The sequence below is a fragment of the Homo sapiens genome, chromosome 3, assembly GCF_000001405.40.
Source record: "Homo sapiens chromosome 3, GRCh38.p14 Primary Assembly".
NCBI lineage: Eukaryota > Metazoa > Chordata > Mammalia > Primates > Hominidae > Homo > Homo sapiens.
Window position 1 is genome coordinate 72,776,491 of NC_000003.12, and position 27,398 is coordinate 72,803,888.

Genomic DNA, 27,398 nt, shown 5'->3' on the forward strand with positions numbered 1-27,398 from the left:
AACAAAACTGCCTAATGATACACTTCTTAGAACGTATCCCTATCATTAAGCAATGCATGACTGTACTTTAAACAGGCAGTTTGTAAGTAATTTTTTTAAAAAAGTATTTACATCAGCAATAAATCGAACAAAAAAATGAGTAAACCTTTAATGGAAAAAAATTATAAAATTTTATTGAAAGACATTAAAGAAAACTTAAGAGAGTCATACCATATTATTGGAAAGAGACACAAAATGTTTTAGTCTCTCCAAACTGATTAACAGATTCAAAGCAATTCCAATCAAAATGTTTTTCATGGAACTTGACAAGCTGATTCTAAGATATAAAGCTACAGTAATTAAGAAAGTATGGCACTCTCGCATGACAGACAAGTAAATCAGTGGGGCTGAACAGACAACCTAGAAACAGATCCACACATACATGTTAACTTGATTTATAAGAGTGAGCACTGCAGGATGTATGAGGAAAGGATAGACTATTTAATAAATGAAGCCAGGATATGGTTATCCATATGGGAAAAAAGAAACTGGATCCCCTATTGCATAACATACAAAAAATCTATTCCAGGTGGACTAAGGACTTAAATGCAAAATGCAAAAGAATAAAAAATTTAGAAGATACTATAGGAGAATATCTCTATAACATCCAAATCATAAAAACTTTCTTAAACGAGAACCAAAAGCACACCCATAAAGGAACACATTGAGAAATTCTACAGCATTGAGATTAAAAACTTCTGTTTATGAAAACACTACAAGGAGACTGAAACATAAACTATAAACTGGAAGAAAATATTTGCAACATATTTAACCCATAAAGGACTAGTATCCAGAATACTGGAAGGAATCCTATAAATCAAAAAGAAAGGAAGTCCTATTGAAAAACAGGGGATACAATAGACAGACATTTCATAGTAGAGGAAACACCAATGGCTCATAAACACATGAAAAGATGCTCAGCTTCACTAGTAATTAGGAAAATGCAAATTAAAATTACAACAGAAACTATTTCATACCCCTTCAGATTGTCAAATCGTAAAATCTGAACCATGTAAGTGTTGGCATGAAGGTGGAATCAGGAAAATTATTATACATTGCTGGTTAAAGTATAAGTTGAAATAAACTGGTATGGCCACTTTGGAAAACAGTTTGACACTGCCCATTAAAGGCTAACATATCATTGTCCCTAATCCCAGAAATTCCATTCCTAGGTATAGGGCTTAACCAAAAAGTTGCACAAGTACACCATGAAACACGTATAGTGATATCTGCAGCAGCATTTTCTGAATAGCCCAAACTGGAAACCATTTATTAGTGGTTCCACAGAATAACAGACAGACAAACAGCACTATATTCAGACAATGGGATAGTACACTGCAGGACAGAAAAGAACCATCTACAACTCTATGCATCATCATGGATAAATCTTTTTAAAATCAAAAGAAACAAGTAATAGAAGAACCATACATATAGCATGATTCCATTACATAAAGTCCAAAAGAAAGCAAAGCTAAAAACTAAACTTGAGATATATGCACAAATGGTAAAACTATATGGAAAAGTAAAGTAATGATTGACATAAAATTTAGAGTTGTGGTTACCAGAAGTTAATACAATTGGGAATGGTCCCATAGGGAATCTCTAGGAAATTGGTGATATTCTATTTCTTAAGATTGGAGGCCAGGCATGGTGGCTCACACCTATAATCGATCCACTTTGAGCACTTTTGAGAGGTTGAAATGGGAGGATCATTTGAGCCCAGTTGTTCAACCAGCCTGGGGTAACAAAGCAAGACTCTATCTCTACAAAAAATAAAAAATTAGCTGGGCATGCCTGTAGTCCTAACTACTCGGGAGGATGAGATGGCAGGATCACTTGAGCTCAGGAGTTTGAGGCTGCAGTGACCTATGATCATATCACTGCACTCCAGCCTGGGTGACAGAAACCCTGTCTCTTTAAAAAAAGAAAAGAAAAGAAAAGAAAAGAAAAAAAAGAAATCAGTGGTAGTTACATGAATATTCAGTTCATTACTATTCTTTCATTTGTGTAATTGTATACACTTAATTTGCATAATTTGTATACACTTCAAATATTATTGTATTTTATATTTCATAAGAAAACATTTTAAGAAAATAACTAAACTCTACAAACATTCAAAAAACACATACAAACGGCAAACCTCCATAGATAACTGAACCCAGTAGTTCATTAAATAATAAAGGCAACAATAACAGAGGCAAATAAAGAAAACTGGCCATTATCCAGAATTATGATTAAAGTACAGATCACCACAAAAGAGTTTAAGTTCTGTATAGAAAAGATTCCTCTAACAAAAGCCAAAACCCTGAGATTCCTTTTCCAAAATTAGGTTTTATCATTCATTCAGCTGTGCAGGCTACAAACCCAGGCATCATCCTCCATGTTGCCTTCTTCCTCATTCTCTAAATCCATTTGAGTTCCTAAAAATCCTAATTCCCTAGTCAGGCTACACTCACGCCTCATAAGGGCATTATTAATAGTCTTGAAACTGGCCTAAAAAGCTCTTTACACTACACCAGTCATCTCCCATCATATGCTGAAAATCCTTCGCTGGCTTCTCGCTACTCTTAGAATAAGGATAAAAATTCTTAACATTACTTAAAAGGCACTATACTGTCTGGGCTCTGACTAAATCATCAGCCTTTTCTTGACCCCTCCCCCAACACATATACCCTTTCTCTAGGTTACAGCCACCTTGACCTTCTTGCAATTTCTTGAAAACATATAAAATTCCCTCCTCCTGCCACAGAGCCTTTGCACATGATGGAACTACTATGTATTCCTGAAGTCCACCACCTTTTTTAGGTTAACTCCTACTTGTACTTCAGTACTCAAACCAAACATTTCCCCAGGGGATCCTCCTTCTCCTCCTAATCCCCTCACCAGGCGAGGTCAGCCATCTCTCGTGGCAGTATGAATCTTTTCTTTTGCACCACTTTCCAAGGTTTTAATTTTACTTTTTGTGTATGCAAGTATTTGATTAATACTTCTCTCCTCATCAGACCACAAATTCTAGAAGGGCAGAAGCCAAGTCAAGTTTTGTTTACCATTGGCAGGCCCCTGGCAGAGAACCCTGCACACAGTAGGAACTCATAAACTATTTGTTGAATGAATGGACTGATGAACAGATACTCAAGTCTAAAGCAGTCACAATTAAACAACCACCATTTCCACCTAGGATAACAAGACCCCAAAAGATAGAAAACGAAGTCAGTATCTGGCTTAACTCTCATGCCCAAGCCTCAAGAGGAGAGCCCACCTTAAAATGGCAGGGGACTTTGAAATAGTATGATTAACAGAAACAAGTAACACTGACCTATACAGAAGATGGAAAGATCTATGTGGCTCTGGTTTAAAAACAAAGCAAAACTGTTTTCACACAAACCTGGAGCAAGGTTGGATCTTTCTGATAAAAAGGTACAAGGCCAGGCGAGGTGGCTCATGCCTATAATCCTAGCACTTTTGGGAGGCCAAGGCAGGAGGACTGCTTGAGGCCAGGAGTTCGAGACCAGCCTGAGCAACACAGCAAGACCCTGCCTCTACTATTTAAAAAATATTTAATTTTTTAAAAAAGGTATGATAAGCCTTACTTACCAGGCAAAATTTCTGGATTTGAAATATGCATCTGAAACCATGGATCACAATAAAGCTTCTGAAACATAAGGATATGTAGTGCTGCCACATTCAGAACACAAGCTTCACAACTAGAATTGTGAAAGCTTGACCTGTATGATTAATCCAGTATTTAATACAGAGTGGAGATCCTTTGCCAATAGTTTTATTCAGATCACTAACTTATACAGCATTAAGTGAAGTCCTTTTAACTGTTATGTCCCTTAAACAAGCAGACAGGACAAATGCTGACAACTGTAATTTTAAATATCAAGTTGAAAGTGAAGTCAATTTCTTCTAGTAAGAACTAAACCCTTATTTTTCTGAAGCATTAGGATAATCTAAGGATAGAAATAAAATCTAAATTGGCTGGCAAGCTTATTTGGAATGGCACAAAGGTACTTAATACCATATGCGAGAAGGTGTTTTATTCTTTGCCAAAAGAATGTGTCTTTGGGTTCTTAAGGTGTCAAAAGTGACATCCACAAAGAACATCTTTGGGGGTGTAAATGCTCTGGGTTTATAGGATACATACACACCGAAAGTGGCAAGAGTCAGGAGAAGAGATGATCATCAAAAGAGACATCACTTTTCACCTTTCACTCTGTCACTTAAAGTATACCACATAATTACAAATCTGGGATGTAAAGTAATATCTCATCCATCACAAGACTAAAATCAGGCAAACCAAACAAAAGACAAACATGCCATGATATTAGAGGTGTATTCCATCACTTGATGTGCTACACAACTCAGAGAACAAGCAATTCTCCTGCCTCAGCCTTCTGAGTAACTGGGATTACAGGTGCCCACCACTACACCCGGCTAATTTTGTATTTTTAGTAGAGGCAGAATATAGAAGCAAATAAAGTAAAAAGTATGGTGGTGTGCACTCAAGGCAATTTTCTTCTCTTTTTTTTTTTCTTTTTTTTTTTTTTGAGACAGTCTCACTCTGTCACCCAGGCTAGAGTGCAGTGACGCAATCTTGGCTCACTGCAACCTCTACCTCCCAGGTTCCAGCGATTCTCGTGCCTCAGCCTCCCAAGTAGCTGGGATTACAGGCACGTGCCACCATGCTAATTTTTGTATTCTTAAGTAGAGATGGGGTTTCACCATGTTGACCAGGCTGGTCTTGAACTCTCGACCCCAGGTGATCCGCTCACCTTGGTCTCCCAAAGTGCTGGGATTATGGGCGTGAGACACCATGCACAGCCTCAGGTGAGATTTTCAAGAAGGGCTCGCATTTCAGAAAAAGACGGCCCTTATACCCTACATGAAATGAAATAAACACAATAATTAGATAATTCTTCAGTGCTTGAGTTTTCCCAAATATGAACTTAGCATTTAAGTCAGGTAGTTAATTTGACACTACAAATGCAGTTTTTCTCATTGTTTTGGTGCACCATTTTATTATTTACATAAAATTACAGAGCAGAAAGAAGAGACCATATCATCAGGAGTCTTTAATTGGCAGAGACTGACTAGAGTCCCCGAACCCCAACACTAATTTCCTGGCAGAGGCAATCCCAGCCCTGCCATAACTTAGGCTTTGAGAAAAAAGGTGTATGACTCTCTTTGAAAATAGGAATGGCTGTTCCATGAAGCAGTGGCCTTTTAAGCTTCTAATCAAATATCACATCACTAAAAAAAAAGGTATGGTAAGTAGCCACTAAAAATCATTTTTGCCATCAATCCCTGTATAAAATATTTATGAAGCTTAATTTCATTCTCAAAAAATAATTATAGGTAGAAGGTCTATTACAGTTTTCCTATACCCCAAAAAGATTGTTTTATGTACTCCCTGGAAAAAGTGGACCTCCATAGGAAGCCACAGCAATAGAAAATTTAGAGAATAAATAAATACTCTAAATCACAATTTCAGGATATTATAAAACTCTCCAGGAAAAGACAGTAAGACAAGCACAAAACAGAAAACATGATCCACTTCATGAAAGTCCTAATTTATCACTTTAAGCTTAACAGAAGTATAAAGCTCTTATGTGAAAAGGACAATAGAAACATGTAATAGCTAATATTTCCTTTAGTTTAAACCTTCCATAATGCCACACTAAATGAAAACATCTAAAATTGGATCAGAAATTTGCTTATATCCAACCATTAAAATAGAATTTATCAATTTCTCTCAATGCTCTGCTAATATCTATGTTTTCTTAAGCAAAAACAATTTCCTTGAAAGCTGTTTAAATTGAAACAGTACAAGAATAATCAATGAAAAAAACTGTAAAATGTCATATAAATCACTTAAAATCCAGAAATATACCTCAAGAAGGTCCTTTTCCAACACTCCATGCCCAAAGATATGTTCCACAGCTCTGTTTATTATTTTCCCAGCTTCTATTTATTAAAGAAAGTAGTCAGAGCAGGAAATGGGACAAGTCAAATGATCACAATCAATCTCATCACCTTTGCAACATGCTGGGAATGTAATTAATCCTCTATTTATTTAGGGGACTTCACACCCCTTACATTAAGGCAGCAACTCCCTGTTGGCTTCAGCTGAGATAATTATGTTATAACAAAGATTGGGTTTCAATCATAATAGACAGAAGAAAAAGGAAATTGTACTTGAAGTTGTCAGCTTTTTTAAAAAGCTTTCTCGTGACTCCATTGAAAGAATGCTCTTGACAAAGCTCTCCTTAAACAGAGCACTTTCTAAGTATGATAACCACACATATGCCACATTAATCAATGTAAGCCTTTTCTCTGAATAAGATGTTAAGACTATTCAAGCACAGTGAAAATTCTACGTGAAGTAGAGAATACTGGTTTATAAAACCTGACTAAATCAATCACCACCCTAACTCACTTGATCCTGTGGGTCTCCCTCCAAAGAGAATCCTCCAAAGAGCTTTGAGGTACAAAAATACACAAGAACAAGGAGATGAAGGAAAATAGCAATTTGCTTACTCTGTAAAAAGCCATGGCTCCACCAAGCCAAAACCAAGGACTTGGGCAGTCTACAGCCAAGTATCAGGGACTAAAACAAGAAAGAACAGAGACTTCTAACACAGCCACCCAGCCACAGCTATAAAATGGGCTTGATATACATACTACTCCCTAGATAAAGGTAGAGTATTTTCCACGCTTATTCACCTCTGAAAATGGTTCATATGTATCTCCACATCTTCTCCTCTAACCTCCTCCACCTTAAGAAAATTAACATGAAACTATAAAGGCCTTGCCCAATTTATTTTTATACACTTTTTTTTTTTTTTTTTTTGAGATGGGGTCTCCCTCTGTCACTCAGGCTGGAGTGCTGTGGCATGATCTTGGCTCACTACAGCCTTGAACTCCTGGGTTCAAGCACATGCCATCATGCCCAGTTTTGCTTTGTTGAGACACGGTCTCATTATGGTGCCCAAGCTGGTCTCGAACTCCTGTCCTCAACTGATCCTCCCACTTCAGCCTCCCAAAGTGATGGGATTATAGGCATGAGCCAGCATGCCCAGCCCTAAGCTTTCTCTATTTTTATCAATGTATCATAATCATGATGTCCATGGTACATATGTAAGTAAAAATGATAAATGAATTATGTTTCTATTTCTAAAAATTCTCAAATACGTCAAACCCATTTTTTCCAAGTCTGGATTCATGATGATTAGAATGTTTGTATGTATTAAGCTCCTCAGGTATCTGAGTATCTCAACAATATTTCACTTACCTTTCATAGCATTTAAGCTCTTGAATAACCAAAATGTCCAAGAAATTGAGCACTACTCAATTTCCAGTTCTTTAGTAAAAGCAAAACAAAATGTGGTCTCATAGAAGAGAAAAAGGACATTAGGTAAAAACTAAGAAAATCTAAATAAACTTTAGTTAATAATAACATCAATATTCGTTCATTAATTGTGACAAATATATCATTCCAATATAAGAGGTTAACAGAGAAACCTGGGTAGGGTACATGGGAACTCTGTACTATCTCTGCAATTTTTCTGCAAATCTAAAACTATTCTAAAATAAAAAGTCTACCTAAAAAAAAAAAAGATACAAATTACAAATTAAAAAAAAAAAGAACAACAAAAATATCCCATAAACCTTTAACATTCAAATATATAATTCTTTTGTTAGTTTTTTCAATACACTTAGTTACAGGAAGCATTCATATCTTTATAAAAGGTTATTTTAGTCTTAGATCTGTAGGAACATTTGTAATCCTGTGATTTATTGGCACATTTCTTGTAAGAGAAGTCTAATGAAGAGCAACAGTCCCCAGTGGGCACTGCTGAGCTACTGGTGATAAGGTACAGAACCATTAAGTAAATCCTTTCTATATGAAACCACGCTGAATGGATCCAAGTGAATGGATACTGCCTTGTACTAATCTTTTCTTATGGAGATAAAAACCCACTTCCATCCAGGATGAATTTGTGGATTTAATTAAAAATAAACAGTAAAACTAAAGAGCAACTTGACATGCCAGAATAAGCACCTTACCAAGAATGATTTTAATCCAAGGTTTAACTTGCTTGAAATTACGCACAATTGTTTCTTGAAACTTCTACATGCTAATCATTAGCAGCTAATTTAACACTTAGCATTTCACCATTTGTCAGAAGTAACTTCCCATACCAATGTAAAACCACCTAGAGTGTCTGATTATCGCTCTGCGTGCCTGAATTTAACAGATCCCCAAAATCACCTTCCACTCTGTAGATTTATTATAAACATCAGTGACTTGGGGGGTGGTAGGTGTCATGGCTTTCCTCCAGCTATGGCTCAAAATGGTACTGTGAAATTACAGCAGTGTCTTCTTGAGGTGGCTGTATGTCCTCCAGCTTCACTTTCTTAGAAATGCCACTCACTACTTCTGATCCCAGTGTGACCAAGGCAACTGGACCAGGAAAACACACTTACCCTTGCTGAGCCAATCACATTCTTCCTCCCCTGGAATTACAAACAAGGGAATCTATCCCCACTGAAAGTAAAGACATGTAAACTCAGATCTGTGGAGTGGCCATCCTCCATGTGCAGTGAGAGAGAAGAGTGGCAGTGCCTTGCAGAAAGCAGCATCATGCAAGACCATATGCAAGAGCAAGCCGAATGCCTCACTTTCTCATCATCTGACCTCCTGGTATCCAGCTGTACTCTTGAATGTACAGTTCCAGGGGATAACCTATAGTCACCAATAAAGCTCCCCAGTTTTGCTGTAAAAGTCTGAGTGAGTTTCTCTTATGGGAACAATTGACAAGAAGTAGTCATGAGCCGTGCTCCTGTATTCCCAGCTACTCCAGAGGCAGAGGCAAGAGGTTCACTTGAGCTCTGGAGCTGGAGGTCACATAGCGAAATTCCACCTCTTAAAAAACAAAAAGAATTAGTTAAGAATACTGGCAGGCTCCGGCACACAGACTAGAGAGATAGGATTTCTTATCTGACCCTATTACTATAACATCGTGACCCCTGAAATGTTAACAGTAGACCCTCTTGTTCAACAATAAAGGGAGACAGCAAGGATAAACTATGATCCAAATGCAAAAAGCCTCACATCCACTCTTGTCCTACCTATACACTGTAGCTAGAACAAGAAAATTTGTTCACCATGTTGCATACATGTTCTCCTTGTCTACTCATCTGCATGATGTTATTTTCCCAGCTTGAAATGCATCCACTCCGATTATTATTATACTTATAGGTAACACAGTACCATGTAACCAGAGAACATTTTTTATGTTTTGTGACTTAATTCATTTCCCTTCTTGTCTAAACTCTTCTTTATACATCTGTCCCAGCTGTGCTCCAAATGTTCCTGGCTCCCTCTTTACTGATATTCCTTAGAGGCATTAAATCAACATTTCCAAAACTGAACTCCTCACCTTCTCTCCCAAACTACACCTTCTTCATTACTATTTAATCTTGGCATATGCCACCTTTAACAGCCCAGTTAGATGCCCAAGTCAAAACCCACATCTCATCTTGGCTCCTCCCCTTCTCTCTCTCCCAGCAGCATCCAATCAATTACTAAGTCTGTCTCACCTGCCTCTCAAATCTGATGACTAGTCTCCTTCCCCATTCTCACTCACCTGGCTCAGGCTATTTTTCCTGGATTACCCTGCTTCTTAACTGGCCTTTAAGTCTGGAGCTCTGAGCTCTGCCCCACCACAATTCATTCCCCACAATCACCTGATGGATCTTCCCAGAATGTCAGTCTCATACCCTCACTCACACAGGCAGTTCATCGCTTAAAACTCTTCAGATGCTCCATATTCTCCCAGGACAAAGGCCAAGCATCTTTAGGTGGCCAAGCCTCTACATGAACCTCTAGCCTCACTTCTTTCCTATCCCTTCTGTACTATAACCTATGCATCCTGGGTTTTCAGGCTGTTCAAATGGGCCATATTCTTTTGTCTACTGTCTGAAATACTCTTCATCCCCACTTCCCCACCTGCATCTGACCAATTCTTACAAACCTTTCAGCTCTCAGCTTAAACTCTTCCTCTGGAAGCCTTTTCCTACAGCCCTGTGTCCTCTTAGATGCTTCCACAGCTCCCATACTTGCCCACTGTAGCCGCTATTGGGTATAATACATTACATCTGCATTTCCCACTAGAAGACCAACTTCACAACGACGTGTCTCTCTTGTTCACCACAGTATTCCCAGCACCTATCTCACCACCTGGCACATAATAGAGCTCAATAACTACTGGTTGAAAAAAAATACATGACTCCACTTTTACATGCAATTCTGATGTTGCACCTCTGCATATGAGTCTCTCTCACTACCTCATTTTGGCAGAGGAACCAGGAACAACAGAGAGCCAGAAGGAAGAGATGTATGTTATCTACCCTGTTCTTAGCATAATCCTATCCCCTTCAAAAGCACATGCACATAGAAAGCAACTCAAGAATCTAAAGCAATCATAAGGTCTTAAGCTTTCTAAAATTTTAGAACTTCAGTGCTGAAATGACTTAGGTTTACTTACAACTGAGGAAATTAAGGTTCATGACTTATGAAATGACAGATAACTATCTTGTGATATAGCTGTTTCCCTCTACAAACTTCCCACATTAGTGTCCAAAAGGTCAGAAGATTTCAGCAAAAAAAGTTAATTGCACTATTAGAGTTAATTAACCATTAATCAGTTTAATGCAAAGAGGGTTTAGAATTTCAAAAACACTTTTTTTCTTTTTCCCCAGAACTACCTACTTAAAAAAACTATACTAGAGAGGAAAAGTGTGATTTAACATCTTAATTACAGGTTCACATTTGTACTGATAAGAGTCAGGATTTTAGATTTTAGTTTCATTTAAAAACAATAAAATTTTTCCATGTAGCAAAAACAAAAGAACACCGTTCTTGATCCCTTGTCATTTCAAAATGTGCTATGTATTAAAACCATACAGTTTTAATGTGAAATTTTCTCAGTGAGCATATATGTACTCTTTTTATAATGAGGAATAAATTAGTTACTTAAAAAAAACTCTGTAATGGATATTATGTTATAAAGGGAAATGGTTTATAAGGTATTATCATGAGTATAAAACAGGCTACAGAATGGTATGTGCAGTATTGCTTCCACTGGTTTAAAAATGCATTGGGGCTCTCCCTCTCCCCCTCCCCCTCCCTCTCCCCTCTCCCTTTGCACGGTCTCCCTCTGATGCCGAGCGGAGGCTGGACTGTACTGCCGCCATCTCGACTCACTGCAACCTCCCTGCCTGATTCTCCTGCCTCAGCCTGCCAAGTGCCTGGGATTGCAGGCGTGCGCCGCCACGCCTGACTGGTTTTCATATTTTTTGGTGCAGACGGGGTTTCGCCGTGCTGGCCGGGCTGGTCTCCAGCTCCTGACCGCGAGTGATCTGCCAGCCTCAGCCTCCCGAGGTGCCGGGATTGCAGACGGAGTCTCGCTCACTCAGTGCTCAATGTTGCCCAGGCTGGAGTGCAGTGGCGTGATCTCGGCTCGCTACAACCTCAACCTCCCAGCTGCCTGCCTTGGCCTCCCAAAGTGCCAAGTTTGCAGCCTCTGCCCGGCCGCCACCCCGTCTAGTAAGTGAGGAGCGTCTCTGCCTGGCCGCCCATCGTCTGGGATGTGAGGAGCCCCTCTGCCCGGCCGCCCAGTCTGGGAAGTGAGGAGTGTCTCTGTCTGGCCGCCCATCGTCTGGGATGTGAGGAGCCCCTCTGCCCAGCCGCCCAGTCTGGGAAGTGAGGAGCGCCTCTGCCCGGCTGCGACCCCATCTGGGAACTGAGGAGTGTCTCTGCCCCGCCGCCACCCCATCTGGGAGGTGAGGAGCATCTCTGACCAGCCGCCCCGTCTGAGAAGTGAGGAGCCTCTCTGCCCGGCAGCCGCCCTGTCAGGGAAGTGAGGAGCGTCTCCGCCCGGCAGCCGCCGCGTCCGGGAGGTAGGGGGGGCGCCTCTGCCCTGCCGCCCCGTCGGGGAAGTGAGGACCTCCTCTGCCCAGCCGCCACCCCGTCTGGGAGGTGTACCCAATAGCTCATTGAGAACAGGCCATGATGACGATGGCAGTTTTGTCGAACAGAAAAGGGGGAAATGTGGAGAAAAGAAAGAGAGATCAGATTGTTACTGTGTCTGTGTAGAAAGAAGTAGACATAGGAGACTCCATTTTGTTCTGTACTAAGAAAAATTCTTCTGCCTTGGGATGCTGTTAATCTATAACCTTACCCCCAACCCCGTGCTCTCTGAAACATGTACTGTGTCCACTAAGGGTTAAATGGATTAAGGGCGGTGCAAGATGTGCTTTGTTAAACAGATGCTTGAAGGCAGCATACTCGTTAAGAGTCATCACCACTCCCTAATCTCAAGTACCCAGGGACACAAACACTGCAGAAGGTGGCAGGGCCCTCTGCCTAGGAAAACCAGAGACCTTTGTTCACATGTTTATCTGCTGACCTTCCCTCCACTATTGTCCTATGACCCTGCCAAATCCCCCTCTCCGAGAAACACTCAAGAATGATCAATAAACACTAAAAAAAAAAAAAAAAAGAAAAATAAACTTGTTACATATTTAAAAAATGCATTGGGAAACAAATACAGGAAATATCAAAATACTAATATTGGTTGAATTAGATTAAGTGACAAAGTGACTTGCTAAGGTCATACGGTCAATGAGAAGTAGAGCTGGAATGTATTACAGTTCATTATTTTCTATCCCACCTTATATAAAAAGGTGCCAACTATTTGAATGCAAGGACTTTTTTGCTTATCTGTAGTGATGGATATCATAAAAATTATGCATGGATCTTTTTTTTGGTCCATGCTATCATTAGTGTTAGTGTATTTTATGCGTGGCCCAAGACAATTCTTCCAGTATGGCCCATGGAAGCCAAAGGGTTGGATACCATGGAACTGTTAAATTTCAGAGGGTCAGAACTATCACTGCTACTGATGGCAGCCCACCAGCAAAGAATGGGGCAACTTGTATATGTAGCTGAAATACCAATAAAAATAAGTTAGAATTGATTTATATTTTTAAAGTGCTACATTTAAAACAAAAATGAAAAACGTTCCTTTAATCCGGTCTAATAGGTATCATTCAATTTGAGTAAAACTGATTGTGCTCACAAACTGTGATGGGTCCAGACAGGTGCTTATTCACATAGACCTTAGCATTTTAGAGGGGAAAGAGATACACATCTAGATTCCTACAATATAAGGCAGGCATGAGAGGTGCCCAATGATCTCTCAACCAAGTGCTATGGGAACATCCATGAGAAAGACAGATGTTTCATTCATTCCTTTTCCTATAGGAAAATCTCTCTGAAGAAAGGGCTTTTATCTTTTTTCTTCCACATGGTATGGGTGGAGACAACTGGTTGCATAAGTGGCATATCTTGAAAAATATGAAATCTGGAACCAGAAGACCTGACCTATCTCTTATAAGACATATAACCTCAAACAAATCACTTTCTAAGGCTGCCAACCACAGAACATTTGCTGTAGTGAGCACCACACTCAAAACTTCCAGTGAAGCTTATAGTGAAGGGTGGTAGGGAGCGTTCTTTTCAGAAAAACAATTGGTAAAATCTGTAACTCAGAATGAGAGGCCAGGAGCTTCAGTTTCTCAGCTTTGCAAATATGCATTACAAGACACAGATATCATAGGGAAAAATAACATAGGGAAACCTAGTACGAAAGCAGAAGTAACAATAGATGTTGTTATAACTTCATCGATTCAATGTAAGAATGACTTTGCTACCTACGTTTCAATAGGTTTTTGCCAAAGCATATATCTGACTGTAAAAATGGAATGCTGTTTTTGTGCTAGTCAGAATTTAGCAATTACCTGGTATTTCAAACAAAACCTTACATAGTTTTTATTATTATAATCAAAAACATCAAACTAAACTAAGAAAAATACATGGCTCTTTTCAAACATAAAAATAAGGTGCTAGATTTCACTGATAAACTATATGTAGAAGAAATAAACCAGAAGGTAAAAGTGAGGAAAAAATTCCTTACGAAAATCATGGATCTACACTGCAGTAGAATTATTTAGACCTAAGAAGTTCACAGTAAAGAAAATACTAGAAAGCTCAATCATGTTGTGCTTGTAAAATTAAGAATAAAACTAGAAATTTTTATAAAAATTAGATAAACAAATGTTTTATTTCAAAAGAGAGAAAAAAATAGCTGGGCTACAGTTAAAATTTAACATACAAACTGAAAGCAACACGCCTGTTTAGGGAAAAGAAAGTTATGTTCAAATTGGTAAAGTTGAAAAAACAACTTTTGCAAAGTAATTTGAAGAGTTCCTGCTGGTTTCTCTCTCCTACCTCACTCCCCAATACATTATCCCATTTTTTAAAAGTACTATTAGCACAACAATTACAAAGAACCTAAGAATTTCACTTCATTTCCCACAACATAAAACCAAGAGAAAAAGTTTTTTCAGGGAAGGTCTGATAATCCCTACATCTACTTGGCAGCCTATATCTTTCTTCTTTAATGAAAAATAAACTTCTCTCTAGCTAATAAAGAATATCACAAAGAGAGAAACAGGCACTCACAGAAATGAGATCCTGGTACATACCTCAATATTCATTACATGTTTACAAAATCATCATTCCTAAAAAAAAGAAAAACCAAAACCCACACAAATAGACTATCCCCATTTAATTTTATTATGAAAATGAAAGTAACAACAGGAAATGGCAGCAGGGTATTTGATAAGCTCAATTAGCAGGAGGATCAAATGAAGTGATGACATGCCATTATGACCTCAGGGGTTAAACATTCAATTTTCCATCTGGCGAAATCTAGATTTCCAACACAAATGCTGACACCACCTGCTGTATGTTATTAGGCATTATCTTGAGCAATCCCTAAGCATTTTCTGTACAACAGGTATAGCCTCAAGTTTTTTCATATTTCATTCTGCAATATAATTGCTCCCCCATGAAGAGAAATAAAAAATAAATCCCATATAATGGCTCATTCAAAACAGACATTAAAATCCACACTAAAGCATTTATTTATCAATCATGGCGGTAGCAAAAATATCAAGACTATTTTTCTTCTAAGTCACAATTGACATTGTAGCTATCATTTTCTATAGCACCTAGGAGTCATTCCAATTAAGAGTTCCCTTTATAGGTTTTTTGTTTTGTTTTTTTTTTAATACAGACAGGGTCTCACTATGTTGCCCAGGCTGGTCTTGAACTCCTGAACTCAAGCGATCCTCCTGCCTCAGCCTCCCAAAGTGCTGGGATTACAGGCATGAACCAACATGCCTGGCCCATTTATAGATTCTTAATTAATAGCCTCTTGCTACTGAAATGGAATTTTGTCATGTCTAATAAGAATCAGATCTACAGAACTTCACGAAATAAAAATTCACTGCATTTTAAAATGTAATCGTTAATCTACTATGTTTCTTTGATTGACGCAATGGTAAACACTTTTAAAAATTTTTATATACCAAGTGCTGGAGCTCATTTGTGAGTGTTCAGACCCTTCCATACATGCATTATCAAGAATCATGCTATTAGGCTCTGCAGGTGGTAAGCCAGTGGCTAGCCAATAAATGCAGAGCTCTCATCTGGATTCAACTGATGCAGTTTGCATACTAAAATGTTTGCACACACAAACATGAATGCACATACATCTACACACACTCACACTCTACTGTAAGTGAAATACAGATACAAGTTCAGATACCCAGTCTTGAGATTTCATACTGGACAGTCAATAGCAAGGCAATCAATATCACAACTGTTTTAATACCTGTTTTCCAGGACATACCAATACCAATTTTTTCTAATAAAATTAACTTTTTACCATCTGTGTACCTCCTTCCCTAAGCAAATTCACCAAGCTCCCCATGTTAATCCAGTTGCTTTTTAGTGTTTGGTAGGTCTATGGGTTTCCTTCTCATTAAAACTTATTCCTGGCCAGGCACAGTGGCTCACACCTGTAATCCCAGCACTCTGGGAGGCCGAGGTGGGTGGATCACCTGAGGTCAGGAGTTCAAGACCAGCCTGGTCAATGTGGTGAAACCCCGTCTCTACTAAAAATAAAAAATTAGCTAGGCGTGGTGGCACACGCCTGTAATCCCAGCTACTCGGGAGGCAGAGGCACAAGAATCACTTGAACTTGGGAGACGGAGGTTGCAGTAGCTGAGATCACACCAATGCACTCCAGCCTGGGTGACAAGGGCAAACCTCCATCTCAAAAAAAAAAAAAAAAAAAAAAAAAAACACAACTTACTCCTCAGGTTATTTCGTTTTCTTCCTCCTGGGTAAATAGGTATTTCAGCAATGTGAACATCTAAAAATTCGTAAGTAACTCTATGAAAACTTACTTGACTTTCTGAATCCACACACAGTAGTCTGAGATGTAGAGATCATTCAGTATGTACGCTGGGTCATTTTCCTGAAAAATTTTGTGAATATCCAGGAGACACTTTAAAACTGCACTTTTACCTAAAGAAAATTGAAAAAACATAAAATTATCCTTAAGAAAAAGAAATTCAGACCCTGAGAGGTAATATATCTAAAGCAGCTCAGAATCCTGATCATTTCTTAAGAACATTTTTAAATGCAAAAAAATTTATGAGTCCTATTAGGTCCAAACCCCTTTACTGATTTCCTTAAGAATTACATACAATCTTTGGCCAGGCACAGTGGCTCACACCTGTAATTCCAGCACTTTGGGAGGCCGAGGCGGGCAGATCACGAGGTCAGGAGATCGAGACCATCCTGGCTAACACGGTGAAACCCTGTCTCTACTAAAAATACAAAAAATTAGCCAGGCGTGGTGACAGGCACCTATAGTCCCAGCTACTCGGGAGGCTGAGGCAGGAGAACGGCGTGAACTGGGGAGGTGGAGCTTGCCGTGAGCCAAGATCGCGCCACTGCACTCCAGCCTGGGCGACAGAGAAAGACTCCATCTCGAAAAAAAAAAAAAAAAAAGAATTACATATAATCTTTATATTCTGTTGTTACAGCTGACTAGTTGTGGTTATCATTAAAATGCTATGAAATACAACTAGGTCAATTAAATGAAAGGCAGGAAAGTTTTCTAAACCAAATGAATATCTAAATGCATCATAATTTTTATTAGATAATGTTCTTCCAATTCAAGCTTTCAACATAACATGGAAAACTGTATTCTAAATTTCAAACTTCTTTATTTCTTATGTCAACATTTTCTGTCAAGGAGTTATCTACTAATAACAAATTATTTTACCTTAAAGAATTGAAGAAAACTGAACACTAAAACATCATAGCACTACTTCAGAAATAAGCTGACAAAACTCACATGAACAAAAGCCATCAAGTATTAAAGCCTTGTTCAACCTAACTACTTCCTCCTGGTTTTTAAATGAACCTAGTTTTAACCCAACCAAAGTCTACAAAAGGAGCCTTTTACAACTCAGCAATTCCCTAGGTGTTCCAAACTTCATGATATTTCCTGAAATTTATTAATTATAAGGTGAACTATTAATTCTACATCTAGAGTAGTACCATTTTCTTTGATCTGTGAAATTCAGTATTTTCAGTTTAACAGTTTCATTCTTATCTTTACAGTTCTGAAACGCGGAAATACTGTATACTGAGTTCATGAAGATACTGGATGCACTTTCATTGACATTTCCCATTTAACTTTTAGATCATAAAAGAATCATGAGCTAGATGATGACATCTCAAGATCCTAAAATTGCTGACACTAAATTTTTTAACATAATTAACACTAGAAAGTAAGTTTCAAAAGAGCAGGGGCTTCTGTTTTATTTAGTGGTTAATCCCCAATACCTAGAACAGAACACCGCAACAGCAGGTTTTCCATTTAAGTGTTCTAAGAATGAATGAATACATGATAGACACAGTAATCACCCAGCTTAAACCTTGAAAATTTCTTTCATTCTACGGTCTCACCCGTCAAATCCTGATGATTTTTCCTTGGAGATGCTCCTTGTATCTGCCCTTTCTATGCCATTGCCTGAGCTCCTATGTTCACTCATATTCTCATCTCATGCCTCGATTTTAAGAATCCTCTTTCCCATCTTTCAGATTCCAGACTCTACCCCTTCAAACACACATTTTTTAATGCACTGCTTTCATGGAGTCTCTTCCCTGCATATGTTCTCAATGCTCTTTCTACAGACTTGTTTCCATGCCTTTTTCCCTTCTCCATGTGACCTAGCCCACTATCAAGGTCTAGCTCCAGTCTTCATTCCTTCGGGAAGTTCTGGGCTGACTTTCCTAGTCTTCACGGTCCTTTACTATAATGCTGCCAAGAAGTGGAAAGGAAACTCAAAATGGGGAAAGTCCTCCCCATAACCTCTCCTGTTCAATTCCCAGAAGGAAAACTGGAGGCTTCAGGATGGGTAAGATACAGGGCCACTGAGTTGAGGGACCAAGATCTAAATTCCAATCTTAATGGCTCCAGAGGCTACCCACTGTGCCATGCTACCTGTATGTTCTTGCCTCATCCAGTCTATATCACAACGTTTTTATTACTCAAGGACTTATTACTGACTTTAACCCCTAAGTAGGTAGTAAGTCTGAAAACAGAGTCCATACCTTTTTAAAAAATATTAACTTTGTGGCTTCCTCATATGCAGATACAATAAAGAATGAATGAAGAATGTCAATGAAAGCTCCACTGCTAGACTGACTGTGAAGAGAAACTAACACTTAGAAGGCCTAAAGCTACAAGATGTCAAGTTCATTTGGTTAAGGCAAGGTCAGTGCTATGGCTTATCAAAGTGGCACAGGTTAACTATGTCAAATGATTAGTGTGGATCACCCCAGCACAAGCCTATTTTAATTACAAACTAGGTAATGTTGAGAGCAGGGTTTGATGAAAGGAGGAGGAAATATAATCAAAATTTGCAGGCATGATGAAACCATGTTTGCCACACTAGCCATGTTACCCAAAGAATCAAGGAACAACTGACCTGTAAGAATGTTTTGAAGTTTTAATTGCCACAGAGAAGACAAATGTCACAGTAAGCATAGGCCAACTAATTTCTTTCTTGCTTTCCTTCTCTCTCTCTTTTTAGAGGAAGGAGGGTGCAGAGGGAAGGAGTTAGTTTTAGAACTACTAAAAGTTTTAAATGTCAATCGTAAGTCTTTACTGGAAAAACGAACTATTCTCTTGTAACTTGAATAAGCTTCTCTGCTGTGTGACACCTCCAGAATACTCTCTCTCAAGATCCCACACTTTACTAATATAAACAGGTTAACAGAAAATGCAGGATTGGGGCTAGGCGTGGTGGCTCACGCCTGTAATCCCAGCACTTTGGGAGGCCAAGGCAGGCGGATTACGAGGTCAGAAGTTCGAGACCAGCTTGGCCAGCATGGTGAAACCCCATCTCTACTAAAAATACAAAAATGAGCCAGGCGTGGTAGTGCACGCCTGTAGTCCCAGCTACTCGGGAGGCTGAGGCAGGAGAATCACTGGACCCGGGGAGGCAGAGGTTGCAGTGAGCCAAGATTGCGCCACTCACTCCAGTCTAGGTGACAGAGTGAGACTCCATCTCAAAAAAAAAAAAAAAAAAAAAAAGAAAGAGAAAAAGAAAATGCAGGATTTGGAGAAAACCATTTGGCTAGAGCAAAGAGTTCATGTAAGGAAAAAAAGGAGAATAAGCAGATGAGTTTGGTAGAAATCAGACACTAACAAGGAGGAAGAGAAGAATGCACTTGGACAGACTGAGTGAGAACGTCTCTAAACTTAGGTGTGGGCAGTAGGAATAAAGGACCCTACTCCCGAGATCATAATGTAAAAAGGTATGGAGTTAAGGTCACATATTTAATGAGGATCCACAGCAGCCATTACCTGATAAAATTATACACAGCTTCACTTACCAGACATGCCTAAAGTGAGGCTGCCCTCTTGCTAAAGGCCACAGGCAAATTTAAATCTTCCAGCTATCACAAAAAAAATAAGAATAACAATGAAAAGAAATGTCAAATAACAGGCAGGGCATGGTGGCTCATGCCTCTAATCCCAGCACTTTGGAAAGCCGAGGTGGGCAGATCACCTGAGGTCAGGAGTCCGAGACCAGCCTGGTCAACATGGTGAAACCCCATCTCTACAACAATAAAAAAATTAGTCGGGCATGGTGGCATACGTCTGTAATCCCTGCTACTCGGGAGGCTGAGGCAGGAGAATCGCTTGAACCCAGGAGGTGGACGTTGCAGTGAGCAGAGATCACACCACTGCACTCCAGCCTGAGCAACAGAGTGAGACTCTGTCTCAAAAACAAAAGAAATGTCAAATAACAAAAAATAAGAAATGTCAAAATATTTTTTTAATTTAAAGAGAAGAAATTACATTGTATTTGCATGTTCTGATCCCTATTTTCTTAAAAAAAAAAAAAAAAAAAAAGACTAATACTCATTTAAAAAATGCTGGGCCAGGCACAGTGGCTCATGCTTGTAATCCCAGCACTCTGGGAGGCCGAGGCGGGCAGATCACCTGAAGTCAGGAGTTCAAGACCAGCCTGGCCAACATGGTGAAACCCTGTCTCTACTAAAAATACAAAAATTAGCCGGGCATGATAGCAGGTGCCTGTAGCCCCAGCTACTTGGGAGGCTGAGGCGAGAGAATCACTTAAACCCAGGAGGCGGAGGCTGCAGTGAGCTAAGATCACGCCATTGCACTCAAGCCTGCACGACTTGAGAGCGAGACTCCATCTCAAAAAATAAATAAATAAAATAAAAAATAAAAAAACCTAGACATATATACCCAAATGATATTAACAGTATCTGTCTCTACATCCACTGAGCAAATATGTGAGAGCCCATCATGCACCTGGCATTGTTCTACATGTGGGAGTACAGTTGTTTATTCTTTTCTATACTTTCCTCTATTTTCAAAATTGTCCACAAGAAACATTATTTGTTTAACAAAAATTAAGACATGTTCAACTACACAGCCAAACCCTGAAAAATTGACAAATGAAGGTTACAAATTTGAATTCACATTTTAAATTATATTTTTAAACAACTGAGAAGCAATATTTAGATTAATATTTAAAAATTATATTGCAAGGCAGTTTTGAAAGGGAAAGTTACATGCTCTCTTCACAAGCTGTGTTTTAACTGTAAGCCTTAAACTACTTTCATAGTATGTGATGTGACAAATATGGTAAAGATAACCAGGCTACTTGCAGTTGACAATCTAGAATAAAAAGTACATGAAAACTATTCTCCTCCCAACAATATGCATTGTTACTCTGAGGTCGTACTTGATCTCTTTTGTTCCGACTATGTCACCGTAGATGACTACAGCATCACAGCCAGGAGACTCACCAAGCATGTGGCTGGGCTTTTTTTTTCAGTCTCTTTTGTACTGACTGCTCTTTCTATCAGACCCTCAGCCACTTATCTAGCAGCTATGAGCAAAGGAAAAATCTGGCCCTCTTCCAGGCTGTCACATGGCCGGTGGCCAGAAGCCTATGGGGACTCAAAGTACACGGTTCCTGTGGGGATCTATCCAGTCGTGGGCTCATCATACACGATATGGGCATAAAAAAATGCTAAGGCCTAAGTCCAAGATAATCATTTCTGCTCAAAGGCACTGCAGGAAAGTGACCATTTTTAGGCAGTTCACTGCCTGGTTCAAAGCAGAAAAAAAAAACAGTGCCTTGCACAGTAACCACGGTAACTATTTGCACCACAAAATGGCACTAACAGCTCTCTCCAGGACGTTAAATCCCAAGAGTTAGGGATTCTCTAGGATGGACTTGGCTGAGTAAGCCAACCCTATCCATGGAAGAATGACTCGAAGACCAAGAACTCTTGTTCACTCATGAAAGCAGTTTAACACTGTATCCTGGTATTACAAATGACAAGTGCCATGAATGTTTTACTTCGGGGAAAGACTAATGACAACACAGAGAAACGTAATGACAAGATAAAGAAAATATGGATGACAGTAATAAGTAGGTGGGTAGTAAATAGGATTTAACATATTCCCCAGCTTTCCTTTAAAGGGAAGGTAAACTAAGAACAATGTGATTTCCTGTCTGGACAGAAGTGGCATCTCAGGTTAATACATCTTAATACAAAGACAAGATTGAGCTGTTTTAAATAGAATCCCTTGGCTTCCTGAAATCCTCCTATTAGTAGAGCAGGGTTGGGAATAATCTTTCACTGACAGACCAGCTCATGGCTGGAGGCACTTAAGAAATGGTTTCCATCTCTAGGAGATGATCAGGGTAGTGGATGTTTTTGCTGGCTAAAAGCCAGCATCGGAAAAACAATGTAAGTTGCTAATTCTATACAATAAGAGCTAAATTTCTTTTCAACTGCTGGTACATTACAGCTATGTGGCTGTGGTTTTCTGGGTATCTATTCTGCCCTTTGAAGTTTTGAGTTACCCAAGACAAGAAGCCAATTGCTTCTTGGCCTTCTGGCTAAGATCAAATGTCATATCTGTCCTTATCAAGACAAGAGGCCAAAATAAGTAAAGGGACCAGGCCTGGTGGCTCACACCTATAATCCCAACACTATAGGAGGCGCCAATACAGGAGGATCACTTGAACCTGGGAGTCTGAGACCGGGCAACACAGTGGGACTCCATCTCTACAAAAAAAAAAATAATAATAATTTTAAAACAATAAGTAAAGAAAAAAAGAGTGGTTATTCAAAACACCTGAGGGAAAGCACTGCTTGGTCTTTATTTGTAAAATCATCTGAAAATAACAGCCAACATTACTATCATTTAAAATACAAAACTTAGTATAATAGATACCTGGCTAGAAAATGGCTAGAATTCTGGGATTCTGATGAGACCATATTATCAAAACAGATATGAAGTATTTTAACACTAATTTTCATATGTCATTTGACCATAAAAAGAGAGAAGGAAGAAAAATTCTGTCAAATTAATCTAAATTAAGAGAACCAAAGTGGGGTAATTTGCTTTAATACCAGGCCCTATCGGGAAGTAGAATAAAGTCAAATCCCTAGCAATTAACACAAACACGCACATTAAATTTAGCATTAAGAAGGCTTCTAGGTCTATGTGATTTTTTTATCCTCAAATTTCTCAGATGCCATTTAAGCTTCAATTTTTGACTTATATTAAGAAACACACCCTTGAAGCAATGAATTACTATTTTGAGCACAAACTTATAGTCCTATCCATTTAAAAAGTATTGTTATTAAAATTACATATATTATCTGTATACTCGCAAACAAAATTAACATGAAGCAAACATGTACTTTTTATATGTCCCCTTTGCCTGGAATGTACAACCCTCAATTCAACTCATGTACAACCCTCAATTCAACTCATAATTTACCATCTATCCAAGTCTCAAATCAGGCATTACTTTTTCTGGAAACAGGGTTCTAACTCTTCCCCCAGCTGGTTTAAGGTTCCCTCATATACCTGACATACCCCTCTATTACAGTAGTGCTACCATTTGAATGCACCCCACAAAAAGCATCTGTTGGAAAGTTAATCCCCAATGCAACAGTGTTGGAAGATGGGGCCTAATGAGAGGTATTTAGGTCATGAGGGCTCTACCCTCATGAATGTTAACGACAATTAGGACTTCAAGCTGCCAGTTCAACCTCTTGCCTGCCTTCTCACCATGTGATACCCTCTGCCACGTTCTGATACAGCAAGAAGGCCCTCACCAGCCCCTTGATCTTGGATTTCACAGCCTCCAGAACCATGAGCCAATAATTTATGTTCTTTATAAACTACCCAGTCTGTGGTATTCTGTTACAGCAGCACGAAACAGACGTTAAGTAATTAGGAGCTACCCACTTGCTCTGCACCAGATACTTCATATAATTACATGATTTAACCCTACGAGTTAGGTACTTTCTTCCTTGTTTCATAAATGAGAAAACTGAGGCTCAAGGATATGAAGCAGTTGGCCAAGATCACAGCTAGGAAGCAAGAATCAGAACTGGAAATAAGTTGTCTGACCCTCAACCACTATGCAATAAATCCACTGTCAGTATTTATCACCATGTGTGATGAAGTCCTTGACAGGAAAGGACATGACTTTTCATCTTTCTTCCTTGGCCTAGAACAATGTCCAGCAAATTGTATGATCCTGTTTAATAAACGCTGGTTGTTAATCCAGTCTGGAGTACAAAGAATCTAACTTTAAACACACCTAGTCAAATTGCTCAGTTAGCATGTACTAGTTATAACATCTCTGTGGTCTACAGATTTAAAGTTATTTGCATCATGACAAATGTGGCATATACAATTTGTTTACTCCTTCCCTAATTATATATTTCCCTGACAAGAAAAGAATGTAGCTGTACAAACTTTATTACATCACTGTACCACCATAAGTTCAAATAATAAATTTAACCCAAGGCTGCTTTTTGCCTTTTCTGCTCTAACAATCCCTGCAAGATGTGCCAGTTTGAAAGGACAGCCTTGACATTAACTCTGTCCTCTTTCTTAAGTAACTTGTCAAAACAGTGATTGTTTCAGTTTAGAAATACATGACCAGATGTCATCAAAACTACATAATGGTAACATGACTAATTTCAATTTCTTCAGACAACTAAGAATGAGGCATCCAAGTTCAAGGTAGAACATTAAAAAAAAAAATCTCTGTCTACACAGTAAGGAGAAAAGTAGATTAAGAAGCTGAAGATGCATGGAAAAAAGCTCTTTGAAACAGCTGCAACCTAAACCTGAACTTTTAAAAAACCCATAGGCATAGAAAACTTCAAAATTTTGTGGGTAAAATTTTTATTCAATTTTTCCATCTTAAGAATTACAGTATGTATTTCAATGCCCTTTGTGGTTTTAATTAAAACAATTACACTTCATTTTTTTCCAACAGATACCACTTAATAGAGTTCTAATTCTTTGAAATTAGTTTTATTTCAAAATGAAAAAAACTAAAATTGCATGAGGTTGGAAAGAAGAAATAGGAGTATATAGGAAGAAAGACAACTGGATATCTCAAATGGCTCATAAAAGGAAAAAACAAACCTAAACCTAATCCTACCACTGATGAATTTATTTTGGTGATCTCAAGTACTGATAAGTATGTCAAGGTAAAAAAGGAGAAAAACCAAACCATTTTGAAACCCTCACTGTGTTTCAGTGAATATGTTTGCTTTCTGCTAAATGGTCTGCACACTGGTAGAACTGAGCTATGCTTCTTTATATTTTAATCAATGGATAATAAATATAATTTAGTAAAGCTGATTAGATATTTATCTCTACATATAAGTTTAATTTATATGAAAAGGATGCATGAAAATTTTGACTATGAAATTAAGATCTTAGAACTGTGTTCCCCAATTCTAAAAAGCCAAGGAAAGATCATTAAAAAGCTACACATAAATAATCTTATGCAGTTCTTAGCTAATTTCTCACGAAGTAAAAATGGTAACAATCCCAACAGTTCCACTGTGGACCAGCTGTGCAGCCCAGAGTTTGCTTTGCTTCTGGTACCACTTCTTAACCGTTCGGTACTTAATCTGAATCTGTTTCCACAGGGATAAATTGGAAGAAAAATTCTTAAGAATTGCTATGGAAATTAAATGAGACAACAAACATGTAAGTACTTTACATATGAAAAGGGAAGGAGGACAACGGGTAGTATGGATCAGCCCTGGCACTCCCATTACTGGTCCCTGCCCCACTACCTGTGAAGCACCTGCCCACATATTCCTTCCTCCTCGGTGCCGTGGCTAGCACTCTAGTTCAGACCATACTGTCTGTCCCCAGACTTCCTTGGGTCTAGGCAAGAATAGGTCTCCTCTCTTCTCCATGCCCACTAACCTCACCCTTCTCAATGACTCTATCCTAAGTGCTGCTGCCAGATGAATCTAATTTCATAAGCCTCTCACCGGCTCCAATGCCAAACTCTTCAGTGGTTCCTCCCTGAATAAGACCCAAACTCATCAGCAAGCCATTGCAGGCTCCTTTCAGCCCGGTCCCAGCACACTGTTTCTACCTTTATCCTACCATTCCCCTTCACACCTCTGGCCTCCAGACAGATGGGAATTTGCCCTTTCTTGGACATGGAACTCTTTTATATTCCTTTTTCTGATTTTTTTGCCTTCTACTTTCTCAGGGAATACCGCTCCTCCACATCTTCTTTTCTAAATCCTACACATTCTTTAGTAACTACCATTATATATCACTCATTAGGTCTATGCTGTTTGCTCCTTCCCTATTAATCCCTCCTCCCACTACTAACAAGCACTCTATCAGGGTCAGAGTGAGGTGTGGTACTGGAGGTACTGAAATCCTATCACTCATCTCCTCCACCCTGACCAGGCTCTGGCTGACAAGAGTAACAATACAAAGTAGTCAAAAGAGAGGCAGGGGATCCACTTTTTTAAAAAAGCTTTCTGGTATTAACTACATTAGACAATGCGGGACATCTCTTACCTCCTTTGCCTGCCCCAATCTTAGAACCTGTATCAGGTTGAGACTCAGTCTCAAGCTAGGACTGAAGGAGCAAAGACCTGGTGCAAGCCTTCACTGCAGCTAAAACTGGCAGGTCCAAGAGGGTATGAGAAAGACACGCTGGCACTTAGCTTGCTTTAGAGCAGAGACTGAAAACTGGGGGCCTCCCAGGCTGACCTGGGCTCTCAGACATGCTATGGCTCTTACAGTGTGATTTTACATTACTTTACTTCTTTGTTCATACTTAAGCTTTAAAAAAATTTTAAAGATCATTTTACTTTCTACTTCTTTTTAAAACTGGCAATACTATATATTCACACAGCAACAGTAGGCTACAGTCGAGCCATGTATCTCTTCAGTTCACACAGGCCTCATTAGTCTCTATTTCCTTAAACCCTAGCATCCTTATTCATTTACCTGCTTGGCGAAGTAGGCATCTCAGTTTGCTTCTCCTAATGTACAGAAGCCTACTCTAATGTGAGCCAACTATATCAGCTAAGTCTCACCTTGTGGGAAGGCGAGAGAAAATAGCTGAAATGATCTACTTCAATGCTGGCCACTATTTGGAATGGCAAGCAGCCAAAGACCTCGGCTCCCTACAAAAGGGCTCCCCTCCAACCTCCATGTACATACCTAAGGCAGAGGTGGTAAATTTTCTCTGTAAAGAGATAGAAAGTAAATATTTTGGCTTTGCAGGACAATCTCTGATGCACTTACTCAATTCTGTCATCTTACCGCAAAAGCAGCCATAGACAATATGTAAGTGAATGAGCCTGTGTTTCAATAAAACTTTATTTATGGACTCTAAAATGAGAATTTCAAATAATTTTCCCAAGTAACAAAATATTATTTTTTTTCAACGATTTAAAAATGTAAAAAGCATTGTTAGCTCAAGGGCAATACAAGATGGATTTG

At 38.9% G+C, this 27,398-nt stretch overlaps 1 protein-coding gene across 6 annotated transcripts in view; it reads right to left on the reverse strand.

The window, feature by feature from the left end:
* SHQ1 (SHQ1, H/ACA ribonucleoprotein assembly factor) overlaps nucleotides 1-27,398 on the reverse strand; it is a 123,174-nt gene that overhangs the window by 51,219 nt on the left and 44,557 nt on the right. For 2 of the 6 annotated variants that reach the window (XR_001740192.3, NM_018130.3), the window contains exon 10: nucleotides 16,426-16,546. Coding sequence is in view for 5 of the 6 variants with exons in the window: in NM_018130.3 (NP_060600.2) it covers nucleotides 16,426-16,546 (121 nt within the window). In the remaining variant the exon portion in view is untranslated. Of the gene's footprint in view, nucleotides 1-146; nucleotides 4,921-5,037; nucleotides 6,007-6,029; nucleotides 6,650-8,101; nucleotides 8,969-16,425; nucleotides 16,547-27,398 lie in introns of those variants that run through there. The other 4 variants (XM_011533898.3, XM_011533896.3, XM_011533897.3 and 1 more) reach the window with 4 other exon arrangements.